Source organism: Homo sapiens, chromosome 6 (genome assembly GCF_000001405.40).
Source record: "Homo sapiens chromosome 6, GRCh38.p14 Primary Assembly".
NCBI classification, from domain to species: domain Eukaryota; kingdom Metazoa; phylum Chordata; class Mammalia; order Primates; family Hominidae; genus Homo; species Homo sapiens.
In genome coordinates this window covers 52,284,916-52,300,575 of record NC_000006.12, presented here as the reverse complement: position 1 = coordinate 52,300,575, position 15,660 = coordinate 52,284,916, and the positions used below count along the sequence as shown (strand labels likewise).

General features: G+C 42.0%; 4 annotated features.

Annotated features, from left to right (window-relative positions):
• Positions 721-790: a silencer, noted in NCBI's record as "silent region_17280". NCBI's record gives its function as "represses an Ori minimal core promoter by ATAC-STARR-seq in GM12878 lymphoblastoid cells {active_cell/tissue: GM12878}" and the evidence as "EXISTENCE:reporter gene assay evidence [ECO:0000049][PMID:35858748]".
• Positions 3,621-3,840: an enhancer, noted in NCBI's record as "active region_24672". NCBI's record gives its function as "activates an Ori minimal core promoter by ATAC-STARR-seq in GM12878 lymphoblastoid cells {active_cell/tissue: GM12878}" and the evidence as "EXISTENCE:reporter gene assay evidence [ECO:0000049][PMID:35858748]".
• Positions 13,208-13,277: a silencer, noted in NCBI's record as "silent region_17279". NCBI's record gives its function as "represses an Ori minimal core promoter by ATAC-STARR-seq in GM12878 lymphoblastoid cells {active_cell/tissue: GM12878}" and the evidence as "EXISTENCE:reporter gene assay evidence [ECO:0000049][PMID:35858748]".
• Positions 15,357-15,556: an enhancer, noted in NCBI's record as "active region_24671". NCBI's record gives its function as "activates an Ori minimal core promoter by ATAC-STARR-seq in GM12878 lymphoblastoid cells {active_cell/tissue: GM12878}" and the evidence as "EXISTENCE:reporter gene assay evidence [ECO:0000049][PMID:35858748]".

The following is a 15,660-nucleotide window of genomic DNA, read 5'->3' as shown; positions in this document are numbered from 1 at the left end:
TCAAGTCTCTTAGCATAGTGTTTGGGCAAGTCCTTTGTGCTATGTGAAAGTTCACAGTTCACAACTCCTTCCTGCTGCATAGCCTTCCTATTGGGGCAGTTTGGAGGCTGTGGGTCGGTAAGTTTGGAGGATTCCTCTTCTTTCTTTCCAACCCCAGTGGGTGATGGGAGGGTCAGGGTGGACCTCACTTAGCCAGGCTCAACTTGAAAGATCCTGCACCTATTTCTACCTTTATTTCAGAGAGTGGCTGGTCATGCAATAGGTGAGGGACAATGTTATTGAAAAAAGACTCCCAGGGATGCCCCCAACTGCTGCAGAATTTGCTGAGGCTATTGTTTTCATCCTCCTTTAACTGCTGGAGCTCATCAGGGATGCTCCTAGAAAAACACATGCTTCTGTGAAGGCTCCAATATAGTTGAACTTGCTAATGTCCTAGGCCCCTGTGCTCTGCTACCACTTTGCTCAAGCTAGAGCCTAAGGCAGGGAGGAATGGAACCAGAGAGTTGTTCTCCTGGCTGTCATTCACCCAGGCTGTGACCCATCCAGAGACCCAAGTCCTGTCCAGAGCCCAGTGAGACTGGCTGTCTCATGAGTCTATCTCATGGCTGTGTCCTTGGCCAGCCACAGCCACCCAAATCTGCTGACAGGGAGAGATAAGTATGGACCTGTTGGTTTTGTCCTCTCTTGAAGCAAATAGCAGCCTTCCTCTAAGTAAGCCACAGGTGGCTCTGCCCACACGTATCTGCCTCACTGTAGTGTACGAAGACTGTGCCAATATCTCACTGACATTCAGCTTTCCTCCTTACTTGCCTCCACCTCAATATGGCTGTCAAGCAGCTCACTGCTGCCCGGTGAGCAGGTCTTGTATGCTGGTTGGCCAATGAGGAAATGGGCCCAAGGTGAGCCAGCTGGCCTCCAGGAGACATTGCACCCCATGTCTTCATGAGAAAATCCCTTGAGCTACAACTTAACAGAACAGATTGGTTCCCACAGTGCAGTTGACAGAAATATCTTGCCAGGCTAGACTTCTTGCTCTAGTAAGACAGCACCACCCCACCCACAGCTGTAAGCACAGCTGATTTCTTTTGAAAAGAGAGGATTGTGGCCGGGCGTGGCGACTCACACCTGTAATCCCAGCACTTTGGGAAGCCAAGGCAGGTGGATCATCTGAGGTCAGGAGTTTGAGACCAGCCTGACCAACATGGTGAAACCCGATCTCTACTTAAAAATACAAAATTAGCCGGGCGTGGTGGCGCATGCCTGTAATCCCAGCCACTTGGGAGGCTGAGGGAGGAGAATCACTTGAACCCTGGAGGTGGAGGTTGCAGTGAGCCGAGTTTGCACCATTACACTCCAGCCTGGGCAACGAGAACAAAACTCCATCTCAAAAAAAAAAAAGGGGGAGGGAAAGAGAGAGAAGTTTGTTACCACAAAGACCAGGGCTGGCTTTGGCAGGCCAGGGCTGGGTGTGAGGGAATGCTTGTAGGCCTCTATGCTTCGGCCTGGGACAAAGCGGTGGGAAGGATATGAAAACTTGGTATCAGGAACTGCCACATTCCTCTCCTCTATCCTCTCAACCATAGCTCCCTGTCAAACCCCTCACAAAGTAAAAAAAGTCAGGCTCAGGAATTGGTGATACTGATACTTCTGGGGCCCCAGAAAGTTCCTGTTCCCAGACACTGTCCCCAGCCTGTTTCCTTTGTCTTCCTAAGAAGGCACTCTGTGGGCCACCTAGAACTAGTTTAAGTGTCCCAACTTAGAGCCAAAAATGGAAAAAGCATAAAAGTGCCAGATGCGGTGGCTCACGCCTGTAATCCCAACACTTTGGGAGGCCGAGGCTTGCGGATCACCTGAGGTCGGGAGTTCGCAACCAGCCTAACCAACATGGAGAAACCCTGTCTCTACTAAAAATACAAAATTAGCTGGATGTGGTGGCACATGCCTGTAATTCCAGCTACTCGGGAGGCTGAGGCAGGAGAATCACTTGAACTCAGGAGGCGGAGGTTGCAATGAGCCAAGATGGTGCCATTGCACTCCAGCCTGGGCAACAAGAGTGAAACTCAGTCTCAAAAAAAAAAAAAAAAAAGGAAAAGCATAAAGGTTTACAATTTTGAGGGCCTGAAAGGGGGACCATGAACTCAATGAAGCAAAAGAGAAAGGCTGGGAGGGCTCACAGAACAAAAGGAAGCTGTATGAATGGAAACAAGAGGGCAAGAAATCAATTAAGATCTGAAGTTGTGTATTCAGTGTTAATTCAACAGACATTATTAAGGCCTACTCTGTGTGTGTCAAGCACTGGGCTAAGTGCTCAGGGTAAGAAGCAGAACAAGACATGGTTCACTGGAGTAAACAGGCATGTAAACACTAATTGCAATATGATGAAAGAAGCACCCAGTGAAAAATGTCAAAGCAAGAAGACTAGGTTGTTCCATCCAACTGTCATTTATAGGGATATGGTGCTGGCGGCTTCTGTGTGAGCAAAGGCAATTGGGAGCCCTCTACCACAACCCTTTCTCCTTCTTTCCCCTTCTCCCTTTCTATCCTTATCCTTTTCTTCTGTCTCTTCTTTCCTCCTCCTCTACTGCCATAAAATGGCACCTAAGGGTACTCACTAATTCCGTTAATAGAACAGAGTTGAATACAAGTGTCCCCCCTCATCTGCAGTGTTGCTTTTCTTGGTTTCAGATACTCACAGTCAACTGTGGCCTGAACATATTCAATGGAAAAGTCTAGAAATAATTCATAATAAATTGTCCTTCATTCTGAGCAGCATGATGAAGTTTCTTGCTGTTCCCTGTGTTCTGCCTGGGAGGTGAATCATCCCTTTGCCCAGTGTATCTACCCCCCATTAGTCACTTAACAGGGTCTTGGCGATCACATCAACTGTTGAGGTATCGCAGTGCTTGTGTTCAAGTAACCCTGTTAGAACAGGCAGATGGTTAGATGTGAGCATGAGAGGGAGCCCCTGGAGGAGGAAGTGCTGGAAAATCTAGCATCTCAGAGACTGCCTGAAACATGCATGCTAAATATGAGCAGAGAGGAGGGGAAATACCGAAAGGAATGTCCCCTCCTTGAGGGGACACTGAGAAATGTTACTTCTTCAAGGTATGCAAAAAGGAATACCCTGAAACTCCCCTTAAGATGCCCAGTAATCGCCTGTAATCCCAGGACTTTGGGAGGCTGAGGCGGGTGGATCACTTGAGGTCGGGAGTTTAAGACCAGCCTGACCAACATGGTGAAACCCCGTCTTTACTAAAAATACAAAAAATTATGCCAGGCGCAGTGGCTCTCGCCTGTAATCCCAGCACTTTGGGAGGCCGAGGCGGGTGGATCACAAGGGCAAGAGATCGAGACCATCCTGGCCAACATGGTGAAACCCTGTCTCTACTAAAAATACAAAAATTAGCTGGGCATGGTGGTGTGTGCCTGTTGTCCCAGCTACTCGGGAGGGTGAGGCAGGAGAATCGTTTGAACCCAGGAGGTGGAGGTTGCAGTGAGCCGAGATCGCACTCGGGCATGGTGGCGGGCACCTATAATCCCAGCTACTCGGGGGAATCGCTTGAACCCAGGAGGCGGAGGTTGCAGTGAGCCGAGATTGCGCCACCGCACTCTAGCCTGGGCACGACAGAGAGAGACTCTGTCAAAAAAAAAAAAAAGCCCAGCAATCGTTCATTCTGTGGTTAAACTGTCAGAAAGTAGCTAGCTACATGCTAATAGGAGGGGGAAAAGAGCAAAAGGGGAATTCCTAAGAGATACACATGAGCAATAAGTACAGATTTGACCTTCCTGGGGTGGTGGTTATGAGACACACTGCCATTAGGTAGGATTCATATGGATCGCTGGGCCCCAATCATGCACATTAACCAACAGTAAGGGAGGGTCCCATAAGCCTGGTCGGGAAACTAGATGGGGACAAAGGCAGAGACTTAAGACAGAAGCCAGGAAACTAGACAAAGACAAAGGCTTGAGACAGAGGCCAGAACTTAAACAAAAAGTCCAACGTAATAAAAACTGCATTGCAGAACTCTTGGGGCTGTTCCCAGCCAGGTCAGCCCACTCCTCTCTTACAGTGTACTTTTATTTCCATAATAAACCATTTTTGCTTGCTTCACTAATTGGTCTCTTGGCTGAATTCTTTTTGTCGAGAAGACAAGAACCAAGGAGCCCCACACTTCCCTACAACAACCCTTATTAAATTTAATGCTGGCCCAAAATGTAAGAGTAGTGATGCTGGTATATCATAATTTTCTATTTTATTATTGGTTATTGTTTTTAATCTCTTACTGAACCTAATCCATAAATTAAACATTATCATATGTATAGCAAGAAATGTAGTATATATAGGATTTGTACTATCTGCCATTTCAGGTATCCACTGGGGGCATGGGAAGGTTTTGCTAACCCCATGTATTAGTCCATTTTTGAGTTGCTATCAAGGAGTTCCTGAGACTGGGTAATTTATAAAGAAAAGAGGTTTAATTTGCTCATGCTTCTGCAGGTTGTACAAGCATGGCACAAATGTCCACTTGGCTCCTGGTGAGGGCCTCAGGAAGCTTACAATCATGGCAGAAGGTAAAGGGGGAGCAGGCACATCACATGACGAGAGTGGGAGCAAGAGAGACAGATAGGAGGTGCCACACACTTTAAACAACCAGATCACAGCAAGAACTCACTTATCACCAGAAGCATGGTGCTAAGCCATTTGGTGAAGGATCTGCCCTCTTGATCCAAACATCTCCTACCAGGCCCCACCTCCAACCTCCAACACTGGGGATTACATTTCTTTTTTCTTTTCTTTTCTTTCTTTTTTTTTTTGAGACAGAATCTTGCTCTGTCATCCAGGCTGGAGTGCAGTGGCACATTCTTGGCTCACCGCAACCTCCGCCTCCCATATTCAAGTGATTCTCCTGCCTCAGCCTCCCGAGTAGCTGGGATTACAGGCATGTGCCACCACGCCTGGCTAATTTTTGTATTTTTAGTAGAGACAGGGTTTCACCATGTTGGCCAGGCTGGTCTTGAGCTCCTGACCTCAAGTGATCCACTTGCCTTGGCCCCCCAAAGTGCTAGGATTACAGGCACGAGCACTGCACCTGGGCTGGGGATTACATTTCAATAGGAGATTTGGAGGGGACAAACATCTAAACCACATCACCCTATTCTAAGGAAACAGGAAATGGGATATCCAGCTCCTTAGTCCTCTGCTGTGGGGAGGGCATTAATAAAATGTTAGATTATTATTTTGTGGACAGAACTTTCCTAATCAACAAGAAACCAAGTTTAATTCCTAAGATCTAAACCAGTCAGATAGAAATAATCCAACACAAAGAAAAGAGGAAAGTATTTGGATAGTTTGGCCTAATGTGTTCCTTTTGAATTTCAGTTTTTATTTATAAAAGATAATAGCTTGAAACTATTATCAGTTTCAAACAGAAAATGGTTTGAAACTCACACTCACTACCCAGATTTTGTATATGTTAACATTTTGCTTCAAGTATTTTTTTTTAAATAAAATATTTATACTCAACCAAAGACCTGCCCTTCTTTTGTCCCTCTTCTATGAGTGGGTTTGTGTCATTCATCCCAGGAATATTGTTATATTTTGCTATATTTTTGTGTTAGCAAAATAAATAGTAAGTTTGTATGTTTTGAAACTTTATATAAAAAGGCCTAATACTGTGTATATCTTTTGTTACCTGATATTTTCACCCAGTGTTCTCATATGGTAGCTCCATTAAACTTCTGTATTCTACCAAAAAATAAACTAGTTCATTGCTTATTTATTTCCATTGTATTTCTTGTGCTTTCTACTTACCATGCTTTTCTTTAATTTTTTCCACCTCTCTTACTATCTTCTGTTTATTTATAGTGTTTTCTTTGTTTCCTTTTCCTCTACTACTTTAGAAATGATACATTCTCTTTTTATTTTTCTAGGCTTTATCCTTAAATTTTTAACACAAACAACTGCCTTCAAAATCTGCATTCTCCTCCCAAATAATACAAAGATCTTAGATTTTTAACTTTGATTGGCTCTAGTCACTTGCCATGTTATTATTGTCTAAAGCTGTGCTAATACAATAGCTACTTGCCATATGTGGCTATTTAAATTTAAATTAATCAGTGTTAAATAAAATTAAAAATTATTTTCCTTAGTTGCATAGCCACATTTCAAATGTACAATAGTTACATGTGGCTAATGGCTACCAGATTGGGCAGAGCAGATACAGAACTTTTCCATCATTGAAAAAAAAATACTGCAAGACAATCCTAGTTATTTACATCTAGTTTTTAACTCTCTGCCTAGTCATTATCATTTATTTATTTATTTACTTATTTATTTTTGAGACAGAGTCTCACCCTGTCGCCCAGGCTGGAGTGCAGTGGGGTGATCTGGGCTCACTGCAAGCTCCGCCTGCTGGGTTCACGCCATTCTCCTGCCTCAGCCTCCCAAGTAGCTGGGACTACAGGCGCCCACCACCACGCCCGGCTAATTTTTTTTGTTATTTTTAATAGAGACGGGGTTTCACAGTGTTAGCCAGGATGGTCTCGATCTCCTGACCTCGTGATCCACCCGCCTCGACCTCCCAAAGTGCTGGGATTATAGGTGTGAGCCACTGCGCCCGGCCTTCTAGTTATTATTATTAGTATTGATTTTTACAGTCAAGACTTTCTTAGATTTACCTTTGTGTTTACCAATTTATTTGCTTACCATCGTTTTTTGCATTTATAGGGATATAAAATATAAATCCTAAGCAAAGAATATTAAATTATTTTTCATATTATATCTCCATTTCCCCCACTCTGCCATCTCATGAGCAATTTCCTCAGCTCCATCTCCTAGTTTATCTCTTTTCAAATAAGTATGCTCTGCTTTCACCCAGTCCATTAATTTAGTCTTTCAATAATGTATTTTTGAATCTTAAAAGTATGATTTGCTCAAATCTACTTTTCTTTGAGGGTCTTGTTCTGTCCTGAGTATTTCTCTACCTTTAAAAAACATTTCATTTTAAATATGTTAATTTTAGAGTGTAATCGATTTTTCTGGACCTCAGTTATCTAAACTATGAAATGGAGCTTTAGACTAAATGGCCTGTAAGGTGACTTCCAGCTCTGAAATTTTAATATGTACTCTGACATTCATTTATTTTTTTAATAAATATTGTTGGAGTACTTTGCATTTCCAAGTAATGAAGGTGGCACTGAAGCATGCCAGTGAATAAAGAATGATTATTTTAAAAGCCACCTTCCCCAGACCTCTACAGGCTCTGAGCCAACACCTTCAGTTTTCTCATATCCCCTTCCTGTATTAACAGAGAAACAGGTGGCTGACCAGATGGACAGAGGCCAGGAAAAATTTCCATCTGGGTTTGGTTTCAGATCAGAGATATTTTTTGGAGGCTCATCAAAGAATCCAGTGAAAGGCTGGGCAAAAGAGGTGAACATTAGATCTCTAAGCTTCTCAGATATTTTTGTTTTGATCCTTATAGTACATAAAATGTAAAATTAGAGTTCCAACAGCTTTTCTACACTCTCTAAAACCAGCAGAATACAGGAGGGCTGGAAGAACAGTAACGAAGGACTGTGTTTCTTTTTATCTAAAGATTCCTGAAATTGACCTGGAAGAATGTAGTAAGATGCTGGAAGGGAACTGTGGGTATGATTTGAGGTGAGGGATAGGAAGGATGATTTTATTATATTTCTCTGAAGGGCAAGTGATTGATCAATACAACCATTTCTGCAGCTTGTATCTCACAGTGCCTCACAAGCATCTTTCAGGTTTTGCTCCTGTGTTGTCAAATGTTCGGTGAGTAAAGGATACAATGAGATTCAGTTGTCCCAAGCCCTGGCTTCTATCAGCCTATCACACTGATGGTGTGAATGCTGTGGATAGGAGCTACAGTTTCTCAGGCAAATAACATGGAAACAATTAAAAGAAATATTCAACTCATTTCAAGGAGCATTGGCTCTCCAGCCCCCTTTCTAACCAGATGCAGTCATGAGGCTTTTATAATTTTATTTATTTCCTTTGCTTAGGTTTTTAGAATAAACTTGATTAAGGCATACTTTATGTATACTTTCCCTTATTGAGACATACTTTGTATATGGTACTTTGTTTTAAAATTCAACAAAATACAACTTCTCTTCCTTTTCTATACTGTCCCAGACAAAGTTTTTTTTTTTGAGATGGAGTCTCGCTCTGTCGCCCAGGCTGGAGTGCAGTGGCGCCATCTCGGCTCACTGAAAGCTCCGCCTCCCGGGTTCACGCCATTCTCCTGCCTCAGCCTCGCGAGTAGCTGGGACTACAGGCGCCCGCCACCATGCCCGGCTAATTGTTTTTTGTATTTTTTAGTGGAGACGGGGTTTCACCGTGTTAGCCAGGATGGTCTCGATCTCTTGACCTCGTGATCCGCCCGCCTCGGCTTCCCGAAGTGCTGGGATTACAGGCGTCAGCCACCGCGCCCGGCGCCAAAGTTTTGAAACTAAATGTCAAGGTTGAATTCTTCCTTTGACTACCGATGTTTTGGGAGACTTGACTGTCTCTGAAATTTCTTTTCCTTTGTGTTAACTATAAAACAACTCTTCATTCTAACTAAAGATCTAAATAAAGATCTTTAACATTGTATGCTTTCTGTAAGCCCTCGAGGCACTGTGTCTAATTTATGCTACCTACATATAATTTTTATCCCTCTGTATTAGCCTGTTTTCATACTGCTGATAAAGACATACCCAAGACTGGGTAATTTACAAAGAAAAAGAAGTTTAAAGGCTTCACAGTTCCACCTGGCCGGGAAGCCTCACGATCATGGTGGAAGGTGAAGGGCACATCTTACATGGTAGCAGACAAGGGAGAAATGAGAACCAAGCGCAAGCTGAAATCCCTTATAAAGCCATCAGATTTCGTGAGACTTATTCACTACCACCAGAACAGTATGGGGGAAACTGCCCCCATAATTCAGTTATCTCCCACCAGGTCCCACCCACAACACGTGGGAATTATGCCAGTTACAATTCAAGATGAGATTCGGGGGTGGGGACACAGCCAAACCATATCACCCTCCTTTTCCCTCACTCCTGCTTCTATCCAAATAGCTTTTCTATCTGTCGGTTTTCCCTCTGAAATGTCTTGCCCTCATCCTTTCCTTTCTGATCCACTTTTGAACAACTTTTCCTGGCCTCATTTCTTTTTGTTGTTGTTGTTTGCTTTTTTTTGTTTTTTTGTTTTTTTGTTTTTTGTTTCGCTCTTGTTGCCCAGGCTGGAGTGCAGTGGTGCAATCTTGCCTCACTGCAACCTCCGCCTTCTGGGTTCAAGCGATTCTCCTGTCTCAGCCTACTGAGTAGCTAGGATTCCAGGCGTGCGCCACTATACCCGGCTAATTTTTGGTATTTTTAGTAGAGACAGGGTTTCACCATGTTGGCCAGGCTGGTCTCAAACTCCTGACCTCAGGTGATCCACCCACCTCAGCCTCCCAGAGTGCTGGAATTACAGGCATGAGCCACTGAGCCTGGCCCCAGCTTCATTTCCTTTTATTTGATTGAAATAATTAATTCTACACATGCTCTGGCCAGATTAATGTTCCTAAAGCACAACTTTGATAGTCTCTCCTTTGCTCAAAAGCCATCAATGGCTCCCTTTTTCCTACTAAATCAGGCACTGTGTACTTATTCTGTTGGCTGTGACCTCTAGAGTCAGGCCCAATGTACCCAGCTGCTTTCAGTCGTACCCTGTACTCACCTTTCCTGTGGACCCTTCATTCTAGTCACATTAGTATCTCCTAAGGGCTTGGCCATGTCTGCCTTTACTTAAAATGTCCTTGCTGCCACATCTCTCTAGAGGCAATATTGCCCACTTTTGATCCTCAAATCAAATACTCCCTCCTCTCATTAGCCTTCCCTCAATCAGTGCAAATTTATATGTTATTTTTAATAAATATGATGTTTTATACTATGCCCATATCACATATTTTTAACTCAATTAAAATATTTTAAAATAAGAAATACCTGTTCACTTAATATTGAAGTAAATTCTACTGAGTGTAAAGGATCAGATTCTACGTTTGAACCTTAACATATTCATTTGTTTTTTTGTTTTTCGAGACAGTCTCACTCTGTTGCCCAGTCTGGAGTGCAGTGGTGCGATCTTGGCTCACTGCAACTTCTGCCTCTCAGGTTCAAGCAATTTTCCTGCCTCAGCCTCTGGAGTAGCTGGGACTACAGGTGCACACCACCATGCCTGGCTAATTTCTTATAGAGATGAGGTTTTGCCATGTTAGCCAGGCTGGTCTTGAACTCTTGACCTCAGGTGATCCACCTGCCTTGCCCTCTCAAAGTGTTGGGATTATAGGCGTAGCCACCGTGCCCAGCCCTCATTTGTTCTTAAATGCTATTTGGTATAGTAATAAAGATCTGGGTTCAAATCCTACCCCTGCCTCTTGCTAGTACAGAATTCTGAGATCTTTTAAACTTTAGTATTCTCACTTGTAAAATGAGGATTAAAAATGACCACTTCACAAGGTGAGGTAAAAATTAAATGAGATTTTATGGTTTATAAAGTGCTTAGCAAAGTGTCTGGCACATAGTACATGCTCAATGAATGGTTACTATTATTTCAAGCTAAATCATAAACTATTTCAAGAGAGATTTTTATACTCTAAAGCTTTCTGTCTAATGTAGCAGTCAATATCCACATGTAGTGATGAAACACTTGAAATATGGCCAGTCTGAATTGAGATGGGGGTAGTACACACAGGATTTTTAAGACAGCAAAAAGGAAAAAAAAAAGAGTAAAAGTAATCCCAGCACTTTGGGAGGCCTAGGTGGGGGAATTGCTTGAGGCCAGGAGTTCCAGACCAGCCTGAGCAACATAGCCAGACCCCATCTCTACAAAAAATTGAATTAGCCGGGCATGGTGGCACATGCCTGTGGTCCCAGCTACTTGGGAGCCTGAGGCATTGCTTGAGCCTGGGATGTTGAGGCTGCAGTGAGCTGTGACTGAGCAACTGCACTCCAACCTGGGTGATAGAGCAAGATCCTGTCAAAAAAAAAAAAAAAAAAAAAAAAAAGAAAAAGAAAAAAGAAAAAATTCTCAACACTTTTTAATATTGATTACATATTGAAATGGCAATATTTTGGATATGTTAGGTTAAATATATTACTAAATTAATTTCAACTGTTTCTTTTTTACTTTTTAAAATGTGGCTACTATAAAATTTAGAATTATGTATGTGTCTTGTATATTTCTATCCAGCAGCACTGATCTAAAAGTCTTTGTTCCAGGACAGAATTAGGTATACAGATTACAGATGCTTAACTAATATTTGATTGTTTGGTATGGCTAAAGCTCTTCATCATTTTTAAAAACATTTATTTCTTTTTTCCCCTACCATGCCAATGTACATCATTTTATTACATTAAGGGACTGTATCTTTAAAAATGCATGCTTACAACAAATCTAGACAGATTTACAGAATGGAGTTATTATCAGAGCATTTCATATGCTATATTCATATTCACTCAATTTGTGTTTAATCATTTCCTTCTGCAAATCTGTGGTTCTAAGCATTGAAGCAAAGCTCTTCAGAGCATCAGTAAAGACTTGTACAATTAAGAATGGGGGCTCAGCCGGGTGCAGTGGCTCACACCTGTAATTCCAGCACTTTGAGAGGCCGAGGTGGGTGGATCATGAGGTCAGGAGTTCAAGCCTGACCAACATGGTGAAACCCAGTCTCTGCTAAAAATACAAAAATTAGCTGGGCATGGTGGCGCCTGCCTGTAATCCCAGCTACTCGGGAGGCTGAGGCAGGAGAATTGCTTGAACCCGAGAGGTAGAGGTGGCAGTGAGCCGAGATTGCACACTGCACTCCAGTCTGGGCGACAGAGCGAGACTTCGTCAAAAAAAAAAAAAAAAGAATGGGGGCTGGGCATGGTGGCTCACGCCAAGGTGGTAGGATCACTTGAGGCCAGGAGTTTAAGACCATTCTGGGCAGCATAGTGAACCTATCTCTCAGAAAGAAAAAGAATGGGGATGACTTCTTACGGACTAAGAAATCAGATTACTGAAATTAACCTTGGCAAATACCAATGAATCACTAATTGTTGGCAAGCCAACTGTGTTGTTATATTTAATGGGAAAATCATGATCACTGATGTTCTCTGTCTGGCTCCTGGATTTTCCGGCTCTTTTTAGCATATCTAACCGGAAGGACTCCAGGAAGCAACAGAAGAGTGCAAAAGGGAGACAAGAAAGGTGATCAGACTCGTTTATTTATTTATTTTTTGAGACAGAGTTTCACTTTTGTCACCCAGGCTGGAGTGCAATGGCGTGATCTTGGCTTATTGCAACCTCCGCCTCCTGGGTTCAAGCGATTATCCTGCCTCAGTCTTCCAAGTAGCTGGGATTATAGGTGCCGGCCACCATGCCTAGCTAATTTTTTTGTATTTTTGGTAGAGACGGGGTTTCACTATGTTGGCCAGGCTGGTCTTGAACTCCTGACCTCAGGTGATCCACTTGCCTCGGCCTCACAAATTGCTAGGATTACTGGTGTGAGCCACTGTGCCGGCTGACCAGACTCTTTTAAAAGAGTTTTATAAAGGAGTCCATTTAGTATTCCATAATGTTCTTTGAGCATGGAGTAAATGCATCTGATGGCTTCCAACACTGTCGGAATCCGAGCCAAACAACACCCTGCCTATGTTATTTTTTTTAGCCAATTGGACTTCCAGCAGAAAAAGGTCCCACTCAAGGAAGTGTCTGGGTTGGTTGTATTGTAAGTTTTTTGGTGGAAGTGGGAAGGGGGTTTGAATTTGGTTGTCTGAATTGTTTCAGAATGCACTACAGTGCTTCCTCCCCTTCTCCTATCCCTTGACTCCTCTCCAACTACCATTCACCACCACTACCAATGGTTAACATTTATTTAATGCTTACTACATACCAGGCACTTTTTTCAGTAGTTTACATCTGTTATGACTTCACTGGATACTTAAACATTTGAGTTAGATACTACTAACCTAATTTGAAAGGTGAAGAAACTGAGGCACAGAGTGGTTAAGTAAGTTGCCTAGTCGTGCAGGTAATATACAGAGCAGCCAGAAAGAGTAACCAAATCTGCCTGTCTTGGTGCTTGAAACTCTAGATGCTACAGCATCTGAAGATTCTGACTTCACACTGCAGAACTGTGAGGTTAGGGCAAGCCTGTGCCTACAGATTATTCCTTGAGCTGCTGTGACACCTGGAGGCATAGATTTGCTCACCTCCAAGCTTTGGTGGCCTTTGAGTAAATGTCAAAGGACTGCTAATGAATTATGGCACTTTCCTGAGTGCCTAAACAAGTTATTAATTACAGGGTATTATTTGAAATGTTTTGCAACATATAATGTTCATTAGTTTGAACAAAGGTATATATAATTTCTTGTAATAATATTTATTATGGATTTGTATTGTGTCTTTGGGTATTTTTTGGACCCTGAGGACATAGAAAAATGGCAGTATTACATCTATTTTGCAATCTCTTTGCAATCTTGTTTTCTTTCCATTCTCTTCCTGTATACTCTGCTCTCCAGGGAGCCCCCTAGCGTTTAGGCAGCCTTGGAGATGGGCTTGAGTCCATTAAAGTCTAGGGTGGAAAGAAAATTGAAATGGAGGAAAGCAGGAATGTGACCCAAGTATGGAAACTGTAGATACACTACTTTATTAGATTATATGTGCTTTTTAATTTTGAATCAGGATAGAGGAGGACTACGGGCTAAGCTCAGCTGGACTTTTTATGAGATATGTACAAATGCCCCTAATTTTTCTGTAGCAACAACCTGATTGATTTTGGGCAGTTTGCAGGTGTCGGGGATAACAAAGGAAATACATTTCCTCTGCTTAAAGATTTCATGCCCTAATGAAAGAAGGGAGAAACACCAATTAAATAGCGGTGTGTCCTTCACAGCTGAAGATGATTATATTGGGACAAATCAAGTCTTTATCAAAGACCATGGCATGATTAATTCATTAAATAGAATTGTCTTTACATAGTTTCCAAATTTGCCATTAGCTCATGGAATGTTAGAGTAAGACAGATTATCAGAGATATTCTAATTCAGTTTCTTCATCTTATACTGTATATAAGGAAACAAGCCCAGAAAAAAGTGTGAGAATCAAAGATGTGGTTTTCAGATTTCCACTCTTTTGGACTTTCTACTACAAATGACTCGACTTCTTTGCTAGTTTGAACTAAGCTTCCCGGTTCTTTTAGTGTTAATTTCAAATTGTTTCCAGAGCAGAGGATATCTCAGTACTCTGTCCAATAAGTTCATAAAATAAGAGTTATGAGTAAAAAGTCTTAATAAATCAGTAATTACCTCTTGCTATATAACGGCAAACAGTATCTTTATTCTAGAATTTTCTTTTTTTTTTGCCCGTTAATAAACATAAAAGCAAGCAGTCAAATGACAGCCTTTTTGCTTTGGCTAAGGATCGATTTATCTGCCCACTAGGATGGCACAAAACATACAGTAACTATAAACTGAATAATAACTAGAAATACATATACCCACACAAATAGATGGCCTATATATTTTGTTTAGGCAGATTATTCTTAGAATATTTATCAGTACATAGTGAGTCCTGAAGACTTTAAAACATAAGCTAATAGTTGGCTGAAATTTCAGATAAAGAATTATCAAATGTCTGATGTTGGGCAATCCAGTATTTCAGCTTCTTGTTCAGTAAAATTAAAAACACATGCTGGGGCAATGGGCTTGCTCTTTATTGTGCAGAGTGGTTACATGGGTGTAAGCACAGGTAAAAATTCACTGAGCTGTACACTTAAGATTTGTGCATTTTACTGTATATACATTATATCTCAAAATAAAACTAGAAATATAAGAAAAAGCCAACCACGACGGACTGAAAACAAACATACAAATTTGGACGTGCGATGATCTTTTAGTCATTATGGTTTCAGATTTGCTGTTAGTTACTGATTGATATTTAATCAAAGTGACGTGAAACACTTTTTCCCCTCTTGAGCTGATCGTTCAGTAAGCTAAGTTACTTAAAAGGATCTTGTGATCTTTTTATAAGACCAGAAAGCCTTTAATTTACCTGTTATTAAGTAAGATGGAGTAGTAACGGTTTCCAAAATTTGTATAACACACGATGAAGTCTCTAGGGGGCAGGGTAAACACAGATTTTTTTTTTCACTTCATCCTTCTCTGCGGCGATGTCTTTATGGAGTTCGTCAGGCAACGGTATCAGATAGCAAATGGGTTTTTAACTAATCTTTCCCTAAGGTACTGTAGTTCTATATTCTATCCTATAGATTCTCAAAATCCACTTTTACACTAGGATGCCACTGGAGGGCAGTTCTGATTTGGATATATCTTAAAAATGATTTGCTTTTATGTTTTCATCTCCCTGCGTTATAAAGCACCATCCTCTGAATTTGGTCGTTGCATCGGGTCAAAAGTTCTGCAGCTTGAAAAACCCTGCAAAAACATCCGGAAAGGAGGGAGAACACTACAACTCCCAGAACGCAATGCTTTCCCTCTCGCCAGCCTGTCCCCTCCAGCTGCTCAATGACCAGCCTCTGTGAGCCTCCTCTCAGCCCTATTGGTCAGTTTGCTCGTCAGTGAGTGAGGCGGAGGGAGGGGAGGAACAGAGAATCCCGGATGGTACGT